This window comes from Homo sapiens, chromosome 21 (assembly GCF_000001405.40).
Source record: "Homo sapiens chromosome 21, GRCh38.p14 Primary Assembly".
In the NCBI taxonomy this organism is placed as follows: Eukaryota; Metazoa; Chordata; class Mammalia; order Primates; family Hominidae; genus Homo; species Homo sapiens.
Genome location: NC_000021.9, coordinates 32,452,678 through 32,478,404, shown reverse-complemented (window position 1 = coordinate 32,478,404; position 25,727 = coordinate 32,452,678). Strand labels below are relative to the sequence as shown.

The 25,727-nt window shown below is 47.8% G+C and overlaps 1 protein-coding gene and 1 pseudogene across 17 annotated transcripts in view, besides 1 other annotated feature; both read right to left on the bottom strand.

The window, feature by feature from the left end:
* EVA1C (eva-1 homolog C) overlaps window positions 1–25,727 on the bottom strand; it is a 103,665-nt gene that overhangs the window by 36,983 nt on the left and 40,955 nt on the right. For 9 of the 17 annotated variants that reach the window (NR_135467.2, XM_017028420.2, NM_001320745.2 and 6 more), the window contains 3 exons: window positions 24,897–25,093; window positions 20,685–20,808; window positions 10,557–10,709 (listed from right to left, as the gene is read on the bottom strand). Coding sequence is in view for 14 of the 17 variants with exons in the window: in NM_058187.5 (NP_478067.2) it covers window positions 10,557–10,709; window positions 20,685–20,808; window positions 24,897–25,093 (474 nt within the window). In the remaining 3 variants the exon portion in view is untranslated. Of the gene's footprint in view, window positions 1–8,152; window positions 8,367–10,556; window positions 10,710–20,684; window positions 20,809–24,896; window positions 25,094–25,727 lie in introns of all 17 variants that reach the window. The other 8 variants (NM_001320744.2, XM_017028422.2, XM_017028423.2 and 5 more) reach the window with 5 other exon arrangements.
* Window positions 13,720–14,919: an enhancer, noted in NCBI's record as "P300/CBP strongly-dependent group 1 enhancer chr21:33835794-33836993 (GRCh37/hg19 assembly coordinates)". NCBI's record gives its function as "activates an origin of replication core promoter dependent on BRD2, BRD4, P300/CBP, MED14 and CDK7 cofactors, with strong dependence on P300/CBP, by STARR-seq in HCT116 cells {active_cell/tissue: HCT116}" and the evidence as "EXISTENCE:reporter gene assay evidence [ECO:0000049][PMID:35650434]".
* Window positions 20,816–24,889, bottom strand: LOC101928078 (histone demethylase UTY-like; annotated as a pseudogene).

Below are 25,727 nucleotides of genomic sequence, written 5' to 3'. Positions count from 1 at the left end.
TACTAAAAATACAAAAATATTAGTGGGACTTGGTGGTGCGTGCCTGTAGTCCCAACTACTTGGGAGGCTGAGGCAGGAGAATTGCTTGAACCTGGGAGGCGGAGGTTGCAGTGAGCTGAGATCGAGCCACTGCACTCCAGCCTGGGCGACAGAGTGAGACGTGGTCTCAAAAAATATATATATATATAAAACTTAATTATCTCTTTAAAGACCCTATCCCCAAATAAGGTCACGTTCTGAGGTACCGGGAGTTAGGACTTCAGTATATGAATTTGGGGAGGACATAAGTTAGCTCATAACAGCCTTCAAAAGGGTCCCCAGTGAGGCTCATCTCTTGGAATTCGTGCGTTTGTGCAGCCTCCTCCCACCGTGAACCAGAGCTTGTGTGGGGGACCAATAATGTATGGTGGCGGTGACAGCATATGGCGGAGGGGACAGCGTATGGCAGAGGTGAGGGTGAGTGAGAGCGTATGGGGGAGGTGAGAGCGTATGGCGGAGGTGAGGGCGTACGGGGGAGGGGAGGGCGTACGGGGGAGGGGAGGGGAGGGCGTACGGGGGAGGTGAGGGCGTACGGGGGAGGGGAGGGCGTACGGGGGAGGGGAGGGGAGGGCGTACGGGGGAGGGGAGGGCGTACGGGGGAGGGGAGGGCGTACGGGGGAGGGGAGGGGAGGGCGTACGGGGGAGGTGAGGGCGTACGGGGGAGGTGAGAGCGTATGGCTCCACCAGTTCTTTTGCATCACTTTCTCTGGGGGAAGCCAGCTGCCGTGTTGTAAGGACACATAAGAGACTCATGTGGGGAGAAACTCACGTTTCCCACCAACAATCAGCACCAAACCACCCACCCATGAGCCAGTCCCCTTGCAAGTCCAGCCCTCAGGGGACTGCAGCCCCAGCCACCATCCGGGCTGCAACTTCCTGAAACCCCGTGAGACTGAGCAAGAACTGCCAGACTACACTATCCCTGAATTCCTGTCCCACAGTAATAAACATTTTGTTTTAAGCCATTAAACTTGGAGGTATTTTACTAGAAAACGAATTCACATTTTGATATTTGAAGTGGGTTGCCGGGGTAATGAAATCCTCAAACTGTGGGGGTGGCTTTGGGATCAGGCAGTGAGCACGAGTTGGGGGGACCTTGAGGGGTATGTTAGAGAAAATGTAAGGGCCTTGAAGAGAAACCTGGTATCTGTCATCTTGATGTGCTAAAGCCAAGTGCGTCTTCAGGGCAGAGCTTCCCAGCTCACCTGTGAGTGGACACAGACTTGCTGGGATGTGTCCCCTCAGGCCCCACCTGTCCCCAGGCCATTGATGCCAGCATTCAGTGGCATCTCTCTTTACCCCCTTTCCATATGGATGTAACTGTCTATGTGCTTGATGATGGGGCGGTTGGGAAGCTCTGTTCAATAGCAGAGTGGGGTGTGTGGCCGACACTGACCTCCTCCGTGCCTGCCCTGATGCAGTTCAGTTGGGACCAGCTTAGGGCTTCATATACAGAACACTGCAGCACTGCTCTCCCTCCTCTGCACCCAGAGCTCGGAGGCTTTCTTGACGCAGATGGGGGGACCCTCAAGTCTATGGAAATGCTCAGGAGTGTGTGTCCCACTGCGGTGCAGGATACGGGAGTACTGGCAGCCAGGCCTCGGGCAGCCCTGGGGGTGCTTATGGGGCAGGATGGAGTCACACCGATAACTTGGGGGGATCACACACATGCCCCTACTTCTCCACCCTCTTCCTCTTGAACTTATTATTATTATTATTATTTTGAGACGGAGTTTCACTCTTGTTGTCCAGGCTGGAGTGCAATGGCGCGATCTCGGCTCACCACAACCTCCACCTCCCAGGTTCATGCGATTCTCCGGCCTCAGCCTCCGGAGTGGCTGGGATTGCAGGCATGCGCCACCACATGTGGTTAATTTTGTATTTTTAGTAGAGACATGGTTTCACCATGTTGGCCAGGCTGGTCTCAAACTCCCGACCTCAGGCGATCCACCTGCCTCGGCCTCCCAAAGTGCTGGGATTCCAGTCGTGAGCCACCACGCCCGGCCCCTCTTGAACTTCCCTATATATGACATACACAGAATCAAAAAGGCAACCAGCCCTACATAACAAACCCAAACTGCCAAAAAACAAAACAAAACAAAACAAAAAACCCGAGGATAGGGGGATAATTACAGCAGAAAAAGCATGTCAAGGGTTACTATCCCTACTCTGCCAAGAACTCATAAAATAAATCAATAAAGATCCCAACAGGAAAAAAAAAAGAGGCAAAAGCTAGAGAGACAAGGTGTGCAAGTGCAAATACAATAACCACAAAAATATGAGGAAATGGCCAAGGTCATTCACAGTCAAAGAAAGGCAAAATAAAAACCACATCGAAGGACTATTTTATACCTCTTAAATTGGAAGCATGCAGAAAAATCATACATAAAGCTGCCAGCGTTGCAGGGAAACCACAGTTATACATTCCTGTTTATATAGATAGATAGATAGATAGATAGATAGATAGATAGATAGATAGATAGATAAAGTTTTTAGAAAGAACTCTGTGAAGAACTGTAAACATACTCATGCCATCTTTTGGTATAAAACTTCCGGGAATTTATTCCAAGGAAGTCAGCTGGAAGTCAGCCGGAAGAAAGGGAAAGCTACAAGCACAAGCTCATTATACATTATTTACAATACTTGAAAGTCAGAAAAAATGAAAAATATCTGGCCACCAGGGAACAGTTACGTAAATTATTTGATGTGTCTTTTTAACAAGATATTAGGAAGTGCTCGGCATTGTTAGGATTTTTTTTGGCCACGTGGAAAAACACACATGATATAAAGCAAAGGAAAATAAGGCAGTCTGCAAATGGATCTGCTTAGAACTGCCATTACGTAAAACAGTCCTCAGCTCATACTCGACTTGGAGAGAAATCCAAAAAAAAAAAAAAAAAAAGTAAGAACTTTTTAGCTGATGAGTAACATTTGTGGCTGAATCCTTTTCTCATTTCTGTTAAATATTATGATGGTGTTTGTGCAGAACAATAAAAATGATGATGATGATGATGATGATGATGATATTTTAGAAGAACTGGAAATGCTCTTTTACAGCATCTCAGCACTAAAGCCACACTAAGCTGCTATAAAATCCAAAGTGGTCCCTGACCATGGAGAGACACTGTGGACACTGGGTTTCACCGCGTGTGTTCCAAGGGGGTATCCAGTCTAAAGCAAATGGGGTTTTGCCAGACTTTAACTTATAGGCAAGAGGAAAAATACACAAATCATCCTCTCAAACCAGATGTTCCAGGACTCACCACAAAGCTCCCTTACAGAGGTCTGCAGTGAAACCAACCCCTCGCTCTCACATAATCATCCCACCAAACTCCTGCCAGCTTCTAGGGTTAAGGATAAAGACCCTTTTCCCCTTGAAAGCAGCGAGGCTGAGCTGCAGTAGTAAATGGGAGCACAGAGCAGAGATCACACATGCACTGGCAGCCTGTGGCCCAGGTGCGCCCTGGAGGCATGTTTTGTTTGGCTCACACAATGTTTTAGAAGTTGGAACATTTCACTTAGAAAAAAAGAAAATCCAGATTTCCAGCATCCCATGAGGTTGGAAGCTGTGACACCAGGCCTACATTCCCAGTCTGTAACCAGACGATTATCCATCCTCGGGAGCCGAGTGTGGGCACCTCACTTCAGAGGGGCTCTGATTCATTCCTGTGCCTCAAGATTCACGTGAGCACCCACTCTATGCCTGGCACTGCTTAAGTTGCTGGGAATTCCACAGACCAGTCCCTGCAGAGCTGCTTAGCTCCTGGGGAGATGAACCACACACACATACCATGGTCTATCTCCATGCTGTGGAGAAAGTCCAACAAAAGGGTCGCCAGAGAGGGACTGCAGGGACGAGGTGCCATGCTGGCCGGTGCCTGGAGAAACCTCTCTGAGATGACATCTGGGTCGATGTCTTGTGTGGCAAAGCCAGCCACACAAGATATGGGGTGAGCACAGTCCAGGTCAAAGGGACAGCTTGTGCAAAGGCCCAGGGGTATGAATAAAGGTGGAGTGCTCCAGAGGTAGTGAGGGAAGAGGCGTGTGCAGCAGGACCACAGCTGAAGACTGATGTATTCCAATTACAGTGTGCAGAGTGGAGGGCTTTAAGCGGAGGTGCGGTGTGCTCTGGTTTAATTTAAATAAAATCCTGGTCGGGCTCAGTGGCTCACGCCTGCAATCCCAGCACTTTAGGAGGCTGAGGCGGGAGGATCACTTGAGGCCAGGAGTTGAAGACCAGCCTGGGCAAAATAGCAAGACTTCATCTCCACCATGCCAGGCATGGTGGCATGCACCTGTAGTCCCAGCTACTCAGGAGGCTGAGGTGAGAGAATTGCTTGAGCCCATGAGTTGGAGGCTTGCAGTGAGCTATGATGAATACTTCACTGCATTCACGGCCACAGCCAAAATGCCAGAGCCCTTCTTGTCCTGTGCTCCGTGGCACAAAAAGGCTGAAAGACAAAAATCAAAGGGTCCTGAGGATGCCCTGTTCATCTGGCCCTCAGCCTCACATGGAAGGTTCAGCTCTGACCTCACCGTTCAGGACAGTGCTAAGGGCATTTTCTCCTTGGCTCAGATAGACCATACATGAAGGCTGCACTTGGTGCATCACTGCATTCCAGCCTGGATGACAGAGCGAGACCCTGTCTCCAACAATTTTTTTGAAATAAATAAATACAATCCCTCTGGCTGCTAAGCGAAGAGGGGAGGCAGCTTCGATGTCCAGGGGAGAGATGCCCGGAGGAGGCTGGGAGCAAAGTGGACAGATTAGAGAGGTGCCACCATGGGACCGCCCTGGGACTGTCTGCAAATTCTCTGCAGACGGCAAATGCTCTGCCCATGGGACTGAAGGGAGGGACGGATAGCGGGTAGGAGACGGGAGGTCAAAACAGTGTGCTTTTTCAGGTGGATGATATTAAAGCATGTTTGGACACGAGGGGTAAACTGATGATTCTCTGGGGAGAACAGGCCGAGTGCAGTTTAAAGCCTTCATGTACAGCTACAGTGGCCCGACAATGGTCCCTTTCCCTAAGGCAGTAGCAGGGAGAAGGGAGGAGAAGGTGGAGACATTTAAGAGAGAGAAGAGCACAGCATCCAACTGAACACACACAGGTGTTGTTGGAACACACGCAGGTGTTATTGGCTCCTGGGCCAAGAAGCAAATGATTTCATAGCATTCAATTAGATGGAGAAAATGCACCAGCTCAGAGAGCCAAAGGTTTGTATTTCCACACGCATGCGTGGTTCTGCCCTTAGCACTGACCTGAATGGTGAGGTCAGAGCTGAGCCTTCCATGTGAGGCTGAGGACCTGATGAACAGGGCACCCTCAGGGCCCTTTGATTTTTGTCTTTGAGCTTCTTTGTGCTGCAGAGCACAGGGCAAGAAGGGCTCTGGCATTTTGGCTATGGCCACAAATGCAGAGAAGAGTCTGGTCCTCACCCTTGCACGTACACCAAGGGCAATGGACGCAAGTGCTTGATTGTGAGGGAGAAGGGCGAGCAGGCTTTCACTCTGTGAGCTGGAGCTTTTTACCTTGAACAGCCAAGCAAGGGGCACAGAGCAGAGTCACAGACTTTTCTTCACAGTCCTTTCTACATCAGGGTTTCTGAGGGCGTTAACACTGCTGGCTGACCTCAGAATTCCTCCACTCTCCATGGAAACCTGTCTTTTAGGCCATGGGATCTGCTAACACTTTCTTTAATTACTTTTCCTTTTTTTTTTTCTTTTAAGAGACAGGGTCTTTCTCTGTGGCCCAGGCTGGAGTGCAGAGGTGCGATCATAGCTCACTGCAACCTCAAACTCCAGGCCTCAAGGGATCTTCCCATCTCAACCTCCAGAGTAGCAGGGATTACACAGGCATAAACCACTGCGTCTGGTATACTTTTCCTTTTTAAATCCAACTCTCAGCCGGGCGCAGTGGCTCACACCTGTAATCCCAGCACTTTGGGGAGGCCAAGGCGGGTGGATCACTTGAGGTCAAGAGTTCGAGACCAGCCTGGCCAACATGGTAAAACCCCATCTCTACTAAAAATACAAAAATTAGCTGGGTGTGGTGGCACATGCCTGTAGTCCCAGCTACTCAGGAGGTTGAGGCAGTAGAATCACCTGAACCCGGGAGGTGGAGGTTACAGTAAACGGAGATCACACCATTGCACTCCAGCGTGGGCGACAGAGCGAGAGTCTGTCTCAAAAATAAATAAATAAATAAATTAATTAATTAAATCCAACTTTCATCTACCATTCCTAGGAATGAAAGGCAGTGACCAAGTGAACACAAACCATTCGGCTTACAGATTTACCTGCTTGGCCAACTGAATTCTGCTGAAAAGAACAACTGACAGGGATGTTACTTACTGCTGCTTCTTAAAACACATGTGGCTAAGTTAGACTAGTAAGCCTGGGAAATGAGGTGCTTCTCTGCAATATTAAGAAATGGAGGCCGAGTGCGGTTGCTCACGCCTGTAATTCCAGTACTTTGGGAGGCTGAGGTGGGTGGATCACGAGGTCAGGAGATCGAGACCATCCTGGCTAACATAGTGAAACCCTGTCTCTACTAAAAATACAAAAAAATAGTGGGGCGTGGTGGCGGGCACCTGTAGTTCGAGTTACTCGGGAGGCTGAGGCAGGAGAATGGCATGAAACTGGGAGGCAGAGCTTGCAGTGAGCTGAGATCGCACCGCTGCACTCTAGCCTGGGGGACAGAGCAAGACTCCGTCTAAAAAAAAAAAAAGGAAATGGAGGCTGGGCGCAGTGGCTCACGCCTGTAATCCCAGCATTTTGGGAGGCCAGGGTGGGTGGATCACCTGAGGTCAGAAGTTCGAGACCAGCCTGACCAACATGGTGAAACCCTGTGTCTACTAAAACTACAAAAATTAGCTGGGCATGGTGGCATGCACATGTAATCCCAGCTACTTGGGAGGCTGAGGCAGGAGAATTGCTTGAACCCAGAGGTGGAGGTTGCAGTGAGCCGAGATCGTGCCACTGCACTCCAGCCTGGGTGACAGACGGAGACTCTGTCTCAAAAAAAAAAAAAGAAAAAAGAAAAAAAGGAGTGGGAGTAGGGGAACACAGAGCCCGTAAAGAAGACGTAGATCCACAATGCCTTGCACAATCCCTGTTCTGGAAAGGCATTCTTGAATATTATAAAGGTTAAGAATTAAAGAAAAAAAAAGTGAAGCCCCTTTTTGCAGGAAGAAGTTAAAACACCAAGGGTCCCTCATCCAGCTAAGGAACCATATAATACAGGGAGCCCCTGCAGGGTGTTAGGAAGGGTTAGTGACAGATTTGCCTTTAAGAAAGCTACCTGGGCCGGGTGCAGTGGCTCACGCCTGTAATCCCAGTACTGTGGGAGGCCAAGGCAGGCAGATCACCTGAGGTCAGGAGTTTGAGACCAGCCTGGCCAACACAGTGCAACCCCGTCTCTACTAAAAATACAAAAATCAGCCAGGCATGGTGGCGGGCGCCTGTAATCCCAGCTACTCCTGAGGCTGAGGCAGGAGAATCACCTGAACCCTAGAGACGGAGGTTGCAGTGAGCCGAGATCGCACCATTGCACTCCAGCCTGGGCAACAGAGGGAGACTCCATCTCAAAAAAAAAAAAGAAAGAAAAAGAAAAAGAAAGAAAGAAAGATAGCTGAGGCCACTGTGGGGAGAAAGGCAAGCCTGGGAGTAAGGAGATGGCTACAGTGGCCCAGCAATGGTCCCTTTCCCTAAGGCAGTAGCAGGGAGAAAGGAGGAGGGAGTGGAGACATTTAAGAGAGAGAAATGAACACACGCAGGTGTTATCAGAGAGGGAAGATGGGGTTCAGGAGCTCACAAGTCAACTTACTGGACCAGGACAGTGGGTAGTGTCATTAATGGACAATGGGGACCCACCTCACACGTGCCTCTCTGCCCCATTTGGCTGCTGAGCCTGTCAGGACAGGAATGCTCATGCCCAGATCGAGTTAAGGGCAGTGTATGCCCACACCAGCCTGCTTTTGCAGTCTGCCTGGGCTGCCCTCCAACAGACCCTCCACCATTCTCGACACAAGGGCCTTCCCGGAATACGGGGCTTCGCATTTGGGAGGCACGTGTTCCAAATGGCTTTTTTTGTTTTCTCTTGAGACTCACCTGAGTTAAAGTGCGCTTAGCTCACTTTTTGTTCATTTTCTTTTTTTCAGGTCCAAGGTATTACTTAGGCATGCATTTCTTTTTTAAATTAATGTTGAATTTCACCTGCGATCCACACATACATTGTAGCAATTTAACATATTAAGGAGCTCATTTTAGATTTTGATCAATAAGCGCAGGTCCTTGGGCTGTTTCACAGCTGGGTCTGTTCTCTCTGGTAATACAGCAGAGAGAGATCAAGCTTTTTCACCAGCACAGATTGGAGTGTGATGGTTAATTTCACATGTCAATTTGACTAGGCTATTGCTCCCAGTTGTCTGGCCAAACACCAGCCCAGATGTTGCTGTGAAAGTGTTAAGATGTGACTGATGTTGAAAGCAGTAGACTTTGAGTCAAGCAGATGAACTCCACCACGTGGATGGGCCTCATCTCATCAGATGAAGGCCTTAGAAGCGAAGACCGAGGTTTCCCTAAAAAGGAATCTTCCTCAAGGCTGCAACACAGAAGTTCTGCGTGAGTTTCCAGCCTGCTGTCCTGCAGAATTCAGATGTAAAACTGCAGCCTCAACTCTTTCCTGGGTCTCCAGCCTGCCGGCCTGCCTTACAGGTTTCAGACTTGCCAGCCCCTACCACCCTGTGAACTAATTCTTTAAAATCTCTCCATAGATACAAGCACCTGCGTATCCTATCGGTTCTGTTTCTCTGAATCATATAGGAGGGCTTGATGAGTGAAGCTCTTAGTCCTACCATGGCCATCACCTCTAAGAAGAATGACTTGCAGAGCCCTTCTTAGCACTGAATACCCAGCTACAGTCCAGCCTCAGGGCGTTGCGTCCACTCTTCTCTCTACCTGGACACTTGTCCCCAACTGGCTGCAGGCTCACTTTCTCACCTCCTCCAAGCCCAGCATGCCCATCACTCCCTAAAATTGCACCTCTTTGCAGGAACCCCTGGCCTTCTCCACCTGCCCTTCCCCATGGATTTTTCTCCTTAGCACTTATCCCATCTGCACCTGACATATGACATATGCACCCATTCATTATCTGATTTCTCACCACTTCCCCATCCACTGCTGGAACGTCAGCTCCACGAGGGTGTAGACTTTGTGTTGTGCCATTGATGACTCCCCCATGCTTAGAACAGGGCCCAGCATACAGCAGGTGCTCAATAACTACTCAGTGTGGAATGACGGAACAACTGAGGGATTCAGGAATGTGGAGGAGAAAGAGCCTGTGCATGGTGTGGCGGTTCCTCCCTGCCCTTGACTTTCCCTTTAATCCAGGCACTGCCCGCTGGCATAGCTTCCTTTCTTGGGGAGCCAGGGCCCTAATCCACTCAGACGGCGCCCTGTGTATAACCCTACTGTGATGGTTAATAGTGAGTGTCAACTTGATTGGATTGAAGGATACAAAGTATTTCCTGGGTGTGTCTGTGAGGGTGTTGCCAAAAGAGATTAACGTTTGAGTCAGTGGGCTGGGAAAGGCAGATTCACCCTTAATCTGGTGGGCACAATCTAATCAGTTGCCAGCAAATGTAAAGCAGGCAGAAAAATGTGAAAAGGAGAGACTGCCCTAGCCTCCAGGTCTACATCTTTCTCCCGTGCTGGATGCTTCCTGCCCCTGAACATCAGACTCCAAGTTCTTCAGTTTTGAGGCTTGAACTGGCTCTCCTTGCTCCTCAGCTTGCAGACAGTCTATAGTGGGACCTGTGATCGTGTAAATTAATACTTAATAAACTCCCCTTTATGTATATATATAAAGGGGAGTTGGGTACTATTCTTTATATATATATAAAGGGGAGCTGGGTACTATTCTTAGTGTTTATGTCTTAAGTTCTTGTTTTTTTGTTTGTTTTGTTTTTTTGTTTGTTTGTTTGTTTTTTGAGACAGGGTCTTGCTCTTGTCACCCAGGCTGGAGCGCAATAATGGCACGATCTCGGCTCACTGCAACCTTCACCTCCCGGGTTCAAGCAATTCTCCTGCCTCAGCCTCCCAAGTAGCTAGGATTACAGGTGCCCGCCACCATGCCTGGCTAATTTTTGTAGCTTTAGTAGAGACGGGGTTTCACATGTTGGCCAGGCTGGTCTTGAACTTCTGACCTCGTGATCCACCCACCTCAGCCTCCCAAAGTGCTAGGATTATAGGCGTGAGCCACTGCGCCCGGCCAGTTCTTGTTCTTTTACTTATTTATTTTTGGCAGATTACTGTTTACAAGCATTTATATATATATACATACACACACACACGGGAGTTTATTAAGTATTAACTTACACGATCACAAGATCGTGATTGTGTTAAGTATTGACTTTCACAATCATATAGGATATATATAGGATATATATATATATATTCTATTAATTCTGTCCCTCTAGAGAACCCTGGCTAATACACACACAAAAGCACATACCGAAAGGGGGGAGCCGCTCTGCCTTGGAGGAGCAGATGTCCCTTTCCTGGGTCCTCCTGCCGTAGGTCGCAGAGTAGATGTTGAGGAACTTGGATTCATGGCAGTGCAGTTTCAGCTCCTGGTCTTCACACACGGTTTTGTTTTTTAATTCATCTGAAGCAAAAACAAAAATTGAAGGCACCATCAGCTTCCCCCAGAAGGAATTGGTGAGCTCTGTCCAAGTCCCATTGCTCATTTCCCCGGGGCTGCACCCTGAGAAGGGGGCAGTGGGGATGGCCCTGTGGGCTCATGCTGTCTCTGACCCCAGAAAACAAAGCCCTCTGCAGGAAGCGGGTGGGAAGTAACCTGTTGACAAGCGCAAAGACCCTGGGAATTAAACTAAGGGGCAAATGGAGGAGAGGTGCTGGCGTTAAGGAAGCAGATGCATGGAGTTAGGTCCCAGGAAGGACCTGGCTAGAAAGGAAGTTTCTCTCACTCACCACTTAAGGTCACACATTCCTTCACTGAAGGGGGCCTTTTCTCAAATGTTGGCTTGAGATCCACATAGGTAAAGACAGACCAGAAATTACTTGAAAGAAGCATTAAGCTTCTTTCTCTCTCTGGAGAGAGCCCAGTTAAACCTCACCTCCAGCCCCTCAACTGGCATCCCCATGCATGTAGGTATTATTTGTTATTTTAGTTTAGTTTAGTTCTTTAGAGACAGGGTTTCACTCTGTTACCCAGGCTAGAGTGCAGTGGTGCAATCATAGCTCACTGCAGCCTCGAACTCTTGGGCTCAAACCTAGGCTCAAGCAATCCTCTTGCCTCAGTTTCTCAAGTACCTGGGAATATATGAATGCACACCATGTCTGGCTTACATTTATTTGTTTAAAAGACAAGAAAGAGGCCGGGCACAGTGGCTCACACCCGTAATCCCAGCATTTTGGGTGGGAGGCTGAGACAGGAGGTTCGCTTGAGCCCAGAAGTTGGAGACCAGCCTGGGAAACATAGCAAGACCTCATCTCTAATTTAAAAAAAAAAAAAAGCAAGAAAGATGGTATGATACCAAATCAAATCATTTCCTTTCCTAGGAAAGGGGCAAAAACAAGGCACAGTGTCAGTTAAGAATCCCTCTTTAGAGAAGCATGAAAAGTCTGCCCCAAATCTGGTAAATCCAGGAACAACTGACTGTCAAGCTGATGGTGCATTCTAGGTTAGGATGTTTTGGACCAGGTAGTGCTTTGTTCCCAAAGAATTCAGGGAAAAGTTTGTTTGTTTGTTTAATCTGCTTATCATAGTAAAATCTTTCTTTGCAATGTCGTACAAAGTTGGCATTATGCGTGCACTGTTGAAGAAAACACAGTTTATTTTTTTTTTTAAAGAATGTACTCCAAAACCATTTAATTAGTAAAAATGTTTAATAATGATTTGAATTTTTTTTTTTTTTTTTTGAGACGGAATCTCGCTCTGTCGCCCAGGCTGGAGTGCAGTGGCACGATCTCTGCTCACTGCAAGCTCTGCCTCCCAGGTTCATGCCATTCTCTTGCCTCAGCCTCCCAAGTAGCTGGGACTACAGGCACCCGCCACCACATCCGGCTAATTTTTTGAATTTTTAGTAGAGATGGGTTTCACCGTGTTAGCCAGGATGGTCTTGATCTCCTGACCTCGTGATCCACCCGCTTCAGCCTCCCAAAGTGCTGGGATTACAGGCGTGAGCCAAAGCGCCCGGCCAATGATTTGATTTTTTAAAGCAGTAAGAGCTAACACTGCAGACACAAAAGACTGCGTAGGTATGATTCCACTTATATGAAGGATTCAGAGGAGGCAAACCTTTAGAGGCAGAATGTAGATGAGTGGGTGCCTGAGGCTGAAGGTGAGGTCACAGAGTGACAGAAATGGACACAAGGAAGACTTCTGAGATGGTGGGAATGTCCCATGCTGGACTGTGGTCACGGTTGCACTACTCAGTAAATTCACTGAAAATCATGGGATTGTACACTTGGAAAATGTGAATTTTATGCTATGTAAATGATATCTTAATAAAGATATCTTTAAATAATGGTAGCTAACACGGCTGGGTGTGGTGGCTCACACCTGTAATCCCAGCACTTTGAGAGGCCAAGGCGGGCGGATCACCTGAGGTCAGGAGTTTGAGACCAGCCTGGCCAACATGGTGAAACCTCATCTCTACTAAAACTACAAAAATTAGCCAGGCGTGGTGTTGGGTGCCTGTAATCCCAGCTACTATATTTTGCTCAGCAAAATATAAAGGGGACCACGGTCATTTATTTGCATATGTGGTTCTTATCCTTGCCAACATTTTGTAAAGAAAATTCTTTTAAAAATGCTAGCTCTACCCTATCACCACTGTTCTGGAGTTTTCTACTTTGAAATGGCAACCACATAGCGGACAGGTGCATTTTTCAGCCAAACAAGCATTGGCGTTAACTGCAAACAAGAGTTAAATGGCAAGAACTGCTTGGGCTGTCATGGGCTGGCCTGGGGTGGGTGGGAAGACTGTCCAGAGAGAACCTCTTCCACCCCAGCCTCTCACTCCTCTCACGTGCTCATGTTCTTCCACTTTTCTTTCCTGGATTGGAAGTGCAGGCTGATTCCAGGTCCCAAACACACCTCAAGCCAGAGTTTTCCAAATTGTGATTTGAGGTTCATTCATGAGTCTTGAAATCATTAGTGAGTTGTAACCAGCAATTTTTGAAAATAAAGCATAGAGTAGTTTAGAAAACAACAAAGGGCATCACATGAAGAAAGTATAAACACTGTTTTGTAATTTAAACATTTCTTTTTCAGTTGTGTGTATATGAGTATGTGTTCCACTGGGCCAAAAAGTGAAAATCTTTTCCTACCATGGGCTGCAATCACAATTTGAAAACGCCCACCTTAATCCCTGCAGAAAGGCATGAGCTGTACACATTAGGGCCATGGCACCTGGCTGGATCTTCTTATCCTGGTGTCAGTGATGCTAAGCTCCAAACTTAAAAAATGAAAGACAATAATTTCCAAATATAAATGTCACCTTTTTGTTTTTTGAGACGGGGTCTCACTCTGTCACCCAGACTGGAGTGCGGGGGGTGCAATCTTGGCTCACTGCAACCTCCACCTCCCAGGCTCAAGCGATTCTCCTGCCTCAGCCTCCTGAGGAGCTGGGATTACAGGCATGCGCCACCATGCCTGGCTAATTTTTGTATTTTTAGTAGAGACAGGGTTTCACCATATTGACTAGGCTGGTCTTCAACTCCTGACCTCAAGTGATGCACCCACCTAGACCTCCCAAATTGCTGGGATTACAGGCGTGAGTCACCATGCCTGGCCTAAACGCCATCTTTCTGTACCTTGTAAATTTCCATGACTTTGTACCAAAAGCAGAGAAACAACAGTGAGACAAAATTTTGGACCACAAGAAGGAAAACTACAGAATCTCAAGAGGACCACCAGCTCTGCTGCTGGCAAACTTTGTTGCTATCCTTTCATCCATGAGGACGGGAACATTCAAGATGAATGAAAGGCTGGGAGCAGAAGCCAGCCTACAGATGCTCACAAAATCCCTATCCTGCCCTGGTAGTTTAACACGCAGGAAGAACCTCCACGAGGAAGAAAAATGAAAATGGTGACTAAGCAAATGTCTCGAAGGCCCTTTACCCACTCACTGGAATCTTAATTCAACAGCTTAAACTTAGAGCCAAGGCAAGTTTTGTTTTCTTTCTCTAGATAAAAGACTGCTAAGTCTGACCCGAACGTCAGAAGGTTCGATTCTTTTTGGTGAGTCATATCCGCACTGGCATTTATATGCAGTTTATGAGTAGATGCTAAATCCCACCAACAACAAAATTTTGCCTGACTTCAAAGGCCCAGAGTGAACGATGGCCTTTGATGCAGAAAAGAGGGCTTGGATAGAAACACCAAAAGAGCCAAAGTCCCCTTCCAACCATAAGAACTCAGAAAAATGTTAAGAATGCCTTCCCATGGCAGAGCTGGCACAGAAAGAGGATGGGAGAAGGCAGGACAAAAACAAGCTTTATCTCCACAAATTGGAAACTTTTTAAATGGAAGTCTTTTTTTTTTCTTTTTTTATAAATCAAAATATTTAAAAGTTACAAGAGGTTTTTTTTTTGTTTTGTTTTGTTTAAGGCATGTCATGAAACGCATTTATTAGCCACATCTCTTTGATTTATTAAAGCCCATTCATTAAAGGTAGCCTTGATGCCAACAAAACCCTCCCACAGTAACGCAACACCCACATGCAAGGCCTCCAGCGATTTCGTCCCCAGATTATGGGCAAACCATCTCCTGGAACGGAGGGGCCTGTGCGTGTCACATTACATCCTGGGGGTGACTGTTGTGTTATGTTGAGTCACTTGGTTCCTTGGGAATGTGCGAATTCACTGCCACATAAGAGTGACATTTCTGGATTATAAAAAATTAGGAAACTACTAACATCATTGCTACTTTTCTTAGAAGACTAGAATTTGTTTTAGAGCTGGGTTAGAGTTCTCAATTGGTCTCAGATTAGAGAAGGTGTGGGCAGCCTTCCAGAAGTGGGTTGCCAACTCTCCTGGGAGTTTAGATGGGGAGGATGGCAGGGGCCTGGGAAGGTAGAACCACGACTCTGCTTAAATGACAAGAGCAATGAAATCCCCGCCTCCTCATTTTATTAGGTTGGTGCAAAAGTAACTGTGATTTTTGCCATTAAAAGCAATGGGCAAAAACCGCGATTATTTTTGCACCAACCTACAAATGAGAGGGTTATGTGGGTCATTCTGCTTCTTTTCGATACAACAGTCACAAAAGCACATCACTGCCGAGACCAGCTCGGTCGGGGAGACCCTAAACCAGTGGCGCTAGAAGAATTAAAGACACACACACAGAAATATAGAGGTGTGGAGTGGGAAATCAGGGGTCTCACAGCCTCCAGAGCTGAGAGCCTCGAACAGAGATTTACCCACATAAATCATCACAGCAAGCCAGTGATAAGCATTGTTTCTATAGATTATAGATTAACTAAAACTATTCCTTATGGGAAATAAAGGGATGGGCCGAAGCAGAGGGATGGGCTCTGGCTAGTTACCTGCAGCAGGAGCACATCCTTAAGGCACAGATCACTCATGCTACTGTTTGTGGTTTAAGAACTCCTTTAAGTGGTTTTCCACTCTGGGTGGGCCAGGTGTTCCTTGCCCTCATTCCAGTAAACCCACAACCTTCCAGCATGGGCATCATGGCCATCACGAACATGTCACAGTGTGGCAGAGATTTTCTTTATGGCCAGTTTTGGGGCCAGTTTATGGCCAGATTTTGGGGTGCCTGTTCCCAACACATCACTAGCCACCTTTCAAAGGTGGGCAGAGGAAGGATCTGCCGCGATGGGAGTATTTTATTACTGACATTGCATACAATTGCCAGTGCATAGTGATGCTGAAATGTAGATAGTCACTTTTATTTATTTTTATTATTTCTTTATTTAGTAAATAAATCTCACCCTGTCATATAGGTTGGAGTGCAGTGGTGAGCTCATAGCTCACTGTAACCTCAAACTCCTGGGCTCAAGCAATCCTCCCACTTCAGCCTCCCAAGTGGCTAGGACTGCAGGTGCCTGCCATGATGCCCTGCTAATTGTTTTTTTTTTTTTTTTTTTTAGAGATAGGGGTCTCCCTATGTTACCCAGGCTAGTCTCTAATGACTGGCCTCAAATGATTCTCCTGCCTTGGCCTCCCAAAATGCTGAAATGACAGGCATGACTATATCCTTTAGTCATTCATATCTTTAGCAGAGTGATTTGAATCAGCTTATTGAAATAATAGCTACCAACTGCTGAGCTCAACTCCATGGTCCTGTGCTAGCGTGTTACATACAACACTGTGTTTTCACAGTCTTAAAACAGCCCTATGCAGAAGAGACATAATCCCATGTTACAACTGAGTCCTAGAAAGTGTCCCTACACTGCCCAACACACAGCAGATACGATATGCAGCAGAAAGGAATATGAACCCAGAACTGCCTAAATCCAAGCCTCGCTGAAACCTACATTTCCTGAAGGGATGCAATTTGGGAGGTGAGATTTTGAGGAAGGAAGCATAGTGCACATTAGGGAAAAGAAGGTTCCGGTGAGCCTTGCTGGTAAAATAGCTTTCCGTAAAGACAAACAAATAAACCCGATCAGTGGCATTTGCCCATTTCCCTGGTGTAAATACTCCCACCGTGGCAGATGCCACAGAACACAGGCAGAGCTGGTAAGACATGTGCATAACTGGCTCTCATCATAAGAACTGGCTCTGCACACCACAGGGTGCAGCAGTGCAGCCTTTGGACAATCACAGTGTCCTGCTCAGACTGGAACTGGGAATTGAGAAGAAGAGCCTCAGGAGGTGTGAGAGATGCAGAAAAAGAGGCAGGAAGGTGTGGAGACAATCTCACTTCCACCTCCTAAATGGCAGTGCTCAGGTTTCTGGTGTTCAGGTTACACAGGGGCTCTGTCTCTCATCTGCTCTCTATGGGGCAGCCAGAGGGGCTTTATGACTTCATCACAGCACCCTCCCTGCTTAAATGCTGCCCTATAGATAGAGCCCCAACTCCTTCCTTGGCTCTGAGGACTCAGGATCCCTACTCCGGCTCCCCAGCTGGTGCTCTCTCCTGTCTTGGTGCTGTGCTCCTACCCTGTGGCTGGCTGCGCCAATGCACCTGCAACCCGCAGCCACAGGCTTCCGTATGGAGCACTCTTTCTGTGCCCTCCATCCCTGCAGTTCTCAGCTCCATCATCACTTGCTCCAAAAAGACTCCACTGAACCCCTAGTCAAGGTCAATTCCTCCTATGAGGCTGGGCACTGTGGTTCACGCCTGTGATCCTAGCACTTTGGGAGGCCAATGCGGGCAGATCACTTGAGGTCAGGAGTTCAAGACCAGCCTGGCCAACATGGTGAAACCCTGTCTCTACTAAAAATACAAAAATTAGCCAGGTGTGGTGGTGTATGCCTATAATCCCAGTTACTCAGGAGGCTGAGGCAGGAGAATCGCTTGAAACCGGGAGGCAGAGGTTGCAGTGAGCCAAGATTGAGCCACTACACTCCAGCCTGGGCAATGGAGTGAGACCCTATCCAAAAAAAAGATTCTTCTGTGAGCTGCTTGCGTAGTACCAAGTGCCTCTCCATGAAGCCCTGACCCTACCTGGAATCTTGCACATATTTGTGTGAAACTCACAGTGAATATCAGGCCCCACGGGACTGGATGATCTGGTTACCGAGGACGTGCTCACCTGTGTCTCCCCAATGCTGAGCACAGGACCTGGCCCCTGCTGGGTGAACATTTGCTCTGTGAATACATATTAAGCACCTGTTCCTCTGGGGTAACAATGCTGAACCACACAGAGTTCCTGCTCTCATCATGCTCACAGTCTGATGCAGTGTGTGTGCAAATCATACACAAGCCACAAATAAGGTAAATCTAAACGATGATGCTGCTATGAAGAAAAAATAGGATGCTGTGATAGAGAGGGGTGGCAGGATGAGAGGAAGATGTTTTTTGTTGTTGTTTTTTGGACAGAGAAAGCCTCTCTTGAAAGGTGCTGTTTGGGGTGGAAATTACACAAGGAGAAGGAACCAGCTGTGTGAAGATCTCAGGAATGCTTGCTGGGTGAAGGAAGGTTGAGAAATACCCTGGAGGGGGTGTGGACACCACCCACGATAGAACCGCCACTCAGGGAATCTCTGTGGGATGTGAGTTCTCTTCATATTCCACTCCTGTGCAAAGTAGGGGCTTTGCTGAAATGATATGAATAAACCAGATGAAACCTCACACGATAGTCATGGGGCTGTGGCTCTGCACTGACTTATCCGAGGTTCGGTCAATTTTACAAAGGTCATTTGACTTCTCTTAGAGGCTGGTTTTTCTCAACTTATTATGAAACATTTCAAACATATAGAAAATGTGAAAGAATATCACAACCAACAGTCATATTCCCACCACCTCAGGTCTCCAATTGTTAATATCTTGAACAAGGGCCGCTTTTTTTTTTTTTTTTTTTTTGAGACAGTCTCGCTCTGTCACCCAGGCTGGAGTGCAATGGCGCGATCTCGGCTCACCGCAACCTCTGCCTCCTGGGTTCAAACGATTCTCCTGCCTCAGCCTCCCTACTAGCTGGGATTACAGGCATGCGCCACTATGCCCAGCTAATTTCATATTTTTAGTAGAGACGGGGTTTCTCCATGTTGGTCAGGCTGGTCTCAAACACCCGACCTGAGGTGATCTACCCGCCTCAGCCTCCCAAAGTGCTGGGATTACAGGCATGAGCCACCGCCCCCAGCCAAGGGCCACTTTTTAAAGGGCAATATTTTACACCATGGAAGGAGGGAAGTGGAGAACAGAAAAAAAAGGAAGGCAAAGCTAATGGCCGTCAAGGGTGTCTTCAAGGCTATGACACAGTCGTCTGTGAGATTCAGCGGTTGGAGGGAAGTGAGGAAGAACACTGAGATCTTGATGTGATTTCCTGAGTCTGTTGACTGAGGCAGGAGGTGATCCCAATGCCTAGGGGCGGAGGGAGGGTGGAGAGGGGTCACGAAGGGAGTTCAGGCGGTTCTGAATGGCTGGGCCTGCTTGTAGGTATTTGCGATTGTCTGTACATGTGAGTGTGTGTGAGCATGTATGACAGTGTGAGTGAGTGTGACAGCTTGTATGTGTTTGAGTGTGTATAATGGGGTATAAGGTTGTGTTAGTGTGTGCCTGTGTGTGATGATGTCTATTATGAGAGGTGAGTGTGAGGAGCGTCTGTTATGTGCTGTGAGAGTGTGAGTGCCTTTGCGTGTGCTGTGTTAGAAGAACACAGGGCAGCTTTGACGTATCTGGGCCCTGGCAGGGAAGGGGTTTGACAGAAGCCTGCATATCTGCTGAAGAGATCGGGGGGGTTTCTCCCCACATGTGTACCTGAGACCATAGTACGAGTGTGGCCTGACCTCTCCCCACATAAGTCTGGCACCTAGGCCACCAGGGTCTCGGGGAACCAGGGCGGGAGCTAACAGACAACAAAACGCAAAAAGTGAAAACAGTTGTGTTGGGTGGCAGGGAGGAGGTTTAAAAATGCTTAACTCGACCAGGCGTGGTGGCTCATGCCTGTAATCCCAGCACTTTGGGAGGCCAAGACGGGTGGATCAGCTGAGGTCGGGAGTTCAAGACCAGCCTGACCAACATGGCAAAACCCTCTCTCTATTAAAAATACAAAATTAGCCAGGCGTGGTGGTGCATGCCTGTAGTCCCAGTTACTCAGGAAGCTGAGGCAGGAGAACTGCCTGAACCCGGGAGGCGAAAGTTGTGGTGAGCCGAGATTGCGCATTGCACTCCAGCCTGGGCAACTAGAGTGAAACTCTGTCTCAAAAAAAAAAAAAAAAAGTGCTTAACTTCTCATTTTTTTGGTTAAACACACTGCTATCGTTTCTTTGCAACAAAGTGTGCAAGAACCTCTAATGCCACAGTGACCTATGATTTATCTCAGGCAGGCTCTTGGCTCCTGGAAGTGTGACCCACCCACGGAAGATGGATTATTTTTGCCCATCACAAAGCTGATGCGTATTAGAAATGGCAAAAGTCAATGGAGAAAACAACAAGAATCAGAATAAAAGAGATGGCTCCAGCCATATCCCCTCTCATTCTCCTGGGGAACAAGGAGCCCCTGCCGTGGGTGAGGGCGGGAGGAGCTGGTTCTTAAAGATCTGAAGCAGTGGGCGCAGGTGGCAAGTGGGCCACTGGGCCTCAAGGAAAAACAGGCAGCCTCTCAATCTCAGCACAAGACACCTCTGAAACGCAGAACCAGCTCCTCACTTTGAGGAACAGCAATTGCAGTCTCTCACCACCCCTGAGAGTTGTAGCATCAGTACAACTGAGTTTTACATATTGGAAAGGATTTTTAAAATTCAGGCATTTGTAAGAAAATGAAGGCATGTGCAGACTCACACACACAAAATCTCTCTCTCTTTCTTTCTCTGTCTTTCTTTCTCTCTCTGTCTCTAAAAAACTGGGTAGGATGGAGCCCAATGTGTCTGTTAATGAGTTTCAAAGTTGGACAAATGCCAACGGGCAGAGAATTTTGACCAGGAGTGTGAAGGAAACGAGAACCACACCCCAAACACACTGTCCCCCTCCGAAGTTACTTACTAGGTTGGCATTTAAAGGAGACCAGGAGGTATTTACTGCTTCCTGGACAAAGGTCAGGTCCAAAAACACGGCTATTGACCAGGAGGTGGCAGGCCCGCTGGTTCTGGCATTCGTCCAGCACCTTCTAGAAGGAGAGGGTAGAAAAGGGACAGGCTTGAAAACTGCTCACAGTGACTGCCAGACCCGAACCTGGGCTGCTCTGGGCTCTGCAAAGGGAAGGACGCCTCCCCACCTGGCCAAGCTGTGTCTAAGGCCAAAGAGCATAGACGTGGGTGATTGGGTTAGCTCCCTGTCTCCCTGCTCTTTCTCCTGAAAAGAAACCTGATCCAATAGTGCCAGGCTCCTGGGAAAACTAACCTCTGATCCACCACTACTGGTGCGGCGGCTGCTACTTTCAGCAAAGGCACTGAGTGCCGAGGCTCCAGGGGGTGCAAGCGAGGTCAGAGGACTTTCAGATATTGGGGTGCAGGGTACTTCAGGGTCCCCTTCGAGCGGGGTCCCCTAGCTTTAAGCTGAGAGAGCTGTGACCATCAGGATTCACAGTCCTGGCCTTTCATCCTTAAATAGCCCCACACAGGACACAGGAGAGCTGTGCATCGGGGAGCTCTTGGGGACCCAAACCCTTTCCAGCTTACGAACCATCCACAGGCCAAAAAATAAAAATTACAAAGCTGATTCCCACCCTCATCAAACTCAAGAGGATGGGACCCACTTCTCCCTCGGGGAGCAGTTTTCTTAGTGGAACACTCAGACTTTCTGTTGAGCATTGGCAGTAAAGGCTTTCCTGCAAATCTCAATCTCTCTCTCTCTCCTGATTTTTTCCAGACAGCTCCTTCGTTTTTAAGGCATCTGCTCTGTGGAAGCTCACAGAACACCCTCCTCCAGGTCCTGGGAAGGCTCAGCTTTTTGCTGCTGTTCTCTAGGTCCTCGTTCCCAAATGGAACAAGTCCTGCTTGTGATAAACACAGAGGTCCTGAACTTGGGTCTGGTTAAAACAAAAACAAAAAGGACATCAAGTACAGTTAAAAAAAAAGTTCCCAAGAATCTGCTTATTACTTTAGGTCTGAATTTAGTGCAGACACGTGAGCCTCTCTGAGTCACCATGTTCTCATAGTAGCTCGTGGAATAGCTCCGTGAAGAATGCTGGCCCCGCCAGGTATCCCCCATTCTCTCAGGGGCCCAGCAGATGTGTCTCAATCAGGAAAAAATACCCAAGAAACCCCTCAGACCCCAGAAGGTGCAGCTTTCAGATGACTGCATGTGGCATGGCCAAAGGTCATGGTGAAATGACTTGGCCCACAGATGTCACCGGAGGGCTCCACTGTTACAACCACAGAGCAGACCCCAGGGCAGGGCTATTTCCAAACTATGTCATGAGCTGGAAAATGCAGAGAGGGGGACTTGCTGCTGACAGTCAAGGGATGGATCAGCTGTGGTCTCCTGTGTGGATGTCTCCCCATGTTAAGCAACCTCCCTCTGAGGAAGCACCTTGCCTGTGCTCCGAGTGCAGCTTAAAAGACACAAAAGAAGGCTGGGCGCGGTGGCTCACACCTGTAATCCCAGCATTTTGGGGGGCCGAAGCGGGCAGATCACCTGAGGTCAGGAGTTCAAGACCAGCCTGACTAACACAGTGAAACCCTGTCTCTACTAAAAGTACAAAAATTAGCAGGCGTGGTGGTGGGCACCTGTGATCCCAGCTACTCGGGAGGCTGAGGCAGGAGAATTGCTTGAACCTGGGAGGCAGAGGTTGTGGTAAGCCGAGATTGCGCCATTGCACTCCAGCCTGGGCAACAAGAGTGAAACTCCGTCTCAAACAAACAAACAAAAAAGACACAAAAGTAAAGGACTTCTTGACCTCTGGTTGAAAGAGTAGCGCATGGGGATGTTTCTGGCAAACAAACCCTCCCAACAACGTCAGAACTGTGTTCACAAATGCTAACCTGTCGGCCTGGTTATAGAACATCCTCTTCCCTCAGGGGTATCTGGCAGAGGCAGGTACCCGTGGAATGGTGCAGGTGGTGCCCATGCTCTAGTGTATGCCAAGAGTTCCTACTTTTACAAAGTAGCCACTTTAAAAAAATGTTGGTACTGGCCAACATTCCTTTCATGCACCCAGGAGGGCAGCAGGTAGCCTGGGATCCAAGGATGGATGGCCAGGGCAGGTGGCTGAGAAATGGGGGTGGGTCAAGAGGGATGTAGCTCCTGGGGTGGCGCCCAACAGAGAGAGTTAGGGGTAGGGTGGGTGCTATGGCTGGAATGTTTATCCCCCCCAAAACTCACATTGAAATGTAATTGCTGCTTTAACAGTAACAGTGTTAACAGGTGGAGTCTTTAAGAGGTGATTAGACCATCAGGTCTTCACCCTTATGAATGGATTAATACTGTTTTTGTTTGTTTGTTTGTTTTTTGTTTTTTTTCAGGAGTAGGTTGTTAGAGTGGCACTAGGCTTGTTATAAAAGGCAAGTTGGCCCTCTCTCCTTCTCTTGCCCCTTCCATTCTTCTGCCACATGAGTACCAGCGTTCTCCAACCCCCTAGAGGATGTAGTGTTCAAGGAGCCATCCTGGAAGTAGAGACACCAAACCTATGGCGCCTTGCTCTTGGACTTCCTGACCTTCAGAACAGTGAGAAATCAATCTCAGGTCCTTATGAATTACCCAGGCTCAGGTACACTGTTATAGCAGCACAAAAAGGACTAAGACAGTGGAGCACACAGGGAAAGCAACTTCTTGTCTCCTGAAGAAACATGTTGTCTCTCCTCAAGGTATAGAAACCATGTCATGGGGAGTCATTCAGACACATTCATTTTGGCTACTCAATTGGTGTGTTTCACCAATCACCTAAATACCCAGATACTACCATGCTTGGAGTGGAAGCAAGGGATGGTGTGAGAAATAGAAAAATTCTTACATCATCACATTAGTTTGCGTCTCCTGTTTGGGCCTTAGGGAGAGCTACACAGCATTAAAGCTACTCTTATTTCTCCTTAGTTCTAGCAAATGTATCTTTATCCATATTTCCTACGGTCGACAAAATCAAACAGACTTCCAACTTTCCACCTGCTCTAAACTCCCTGCTTTAAATGTATTCATATGGAACTTGGGAGGCATAAAAAAAAAAATCCAAGGCCAAGTGACTCAGTAATCCTGGTCAACTAGTTATATATGTTAGGGGCCAGGGATGGTGAAGTAGAAGTTGCTCAGATGATTGAAAGCCATGCACAGTCTAAAACCATCATTGAAATATTAGTTTGACCTTCTCCTATACCAAATCTTTCCCTAAATATGCCAACCACAAAAAGAATGACTTAAACCACACCTCTCCCAATTCCTGGTACTATGTAGTAGAAGGAAGGAGTCAGTAAAGGCTGCCTAAAATAGCTCCAAGCAAGAATGACATGATTATCTACAACTGAAGAAGCAAATCATTAAAAAGCACAAGGCAGTTACTGATATTACTGATATTTCCTTCCTTGAATACATTTTCTTTTTTTTGAGATGGAGTCTCGCTCTGTTGCCCAGGCTAGAGTGCAGTGGCATGATCTCAGCTTACTGCAACCTCCGCCTCCTGGGTTCAAGCGATTCTTCTGCCTCAGCCTCCCAAGTAGCTGGGACTACAGGTGCGTGCCACCATGCCCGGCTAATTTTTGTATTATTAGTAGAGATGGGGTTTCACCATATTGGCCAGGCTGGTCTTGAACTCCTGACCTCATGATCCACCCACCTCGGCCTCCCAAAGTGCTGGGATTACAGGCATGAGCCACCGCGCCCAGCCCTTTGAGTACATTTTCTAAAAAGTTGGTCATGACTTCAGATGTCTGCCTCAAAGAGATACTTGTGGTTTCCATTAAAGAACCTACCTTCCCTTTCTACAGGAGTATTTATGGGAGATGTGGGCCTGGAGGTTGGAATCCATCCTGGTTGTACTTTGCTATACTAAAGTAAGGAGTAAACCTACAAATAAATTCATATTGAAGTGTACAAAGGGGGCTCTACAATAGGTAGGAATTCTATTTAGTTTTGTTGGGCAACAAATCCTTTGAGAAGCAAATAATAGCTCACCTACAAAACTGGTGATCTGTATAAATTGGGATTTTTCATGGATCAGTTTTGCTTGGATTGAACTATATAATCACAAATATATTTATACCCAGAGAGAGAGAAAGAGTGTGTGTTGAAACTGTATCATCTTAACATGTCTACAAAAGGCAATACCTGGAAGGTGGTGGCTGCCACACAGGTTAAGCTGTCTTCCCTCTGGGAGGCAGGCTTCTGGGAACTACACATTTGGTAATCTTGCCCATAAAATGCCGATTGGACACTTATCGTAGAATGCCGAGGGCACTGTAGATTCAAATAGTCCCCATCACAGGCATAGGTGGTGTGGTTTTGCAGGAGTTTGGTTAGGTAACCTGGAAAATATTCAGTCGAGTTACTAGAGGCCCAGGAACCCACCACTCCTCCATGGGTTTGGGGACAGGAGGACGTTGGTTCCCCTGGGGAAGGGCTGTTCAATCAACAACATGTGGGATGGGGCCTCCCTAGCAGCTCTGGTGCAGAGGTCACCAAACCAGGCCCAGAGGTGGGGCACAGGAGCCAATGTCAGCTTTCATGTTGACATGGAAGGGGGGCAGGGGAGTGCTGGGTAGAGAAGGGTGGGGTCCCTGGCGAGGGCTCCACCCATGGGCTTGTGCCCATGGACCTTAGTGAGAACAGGCACTCCTGTTTTCATGTCCAAATGTTGCATTTTCCAAGACTACTCTGGCCTGCCATGACCCCCATCCTGTGCCCATAAAAAACCCAAGACCCTAGTGGGCACACACACAAGTGGCTGGACGTCGAGAGGAGCAGAGAAGCAGAAGAGCACACTGACAGACACCAGCAGATGCTGGCGGGCTTTCGACAGCGGGGCGATGTGGAAATCAGTCGGGGGCGGTCGGAGGAGAGTCTGGCTGCTGGGCAGCCCAACTCTAGGGGAAGACCACCTTCCCACTCCATCCCCCTTCTGGCTCCCCATCCGAGAGCCACCTCCTCCACTCAATAAAA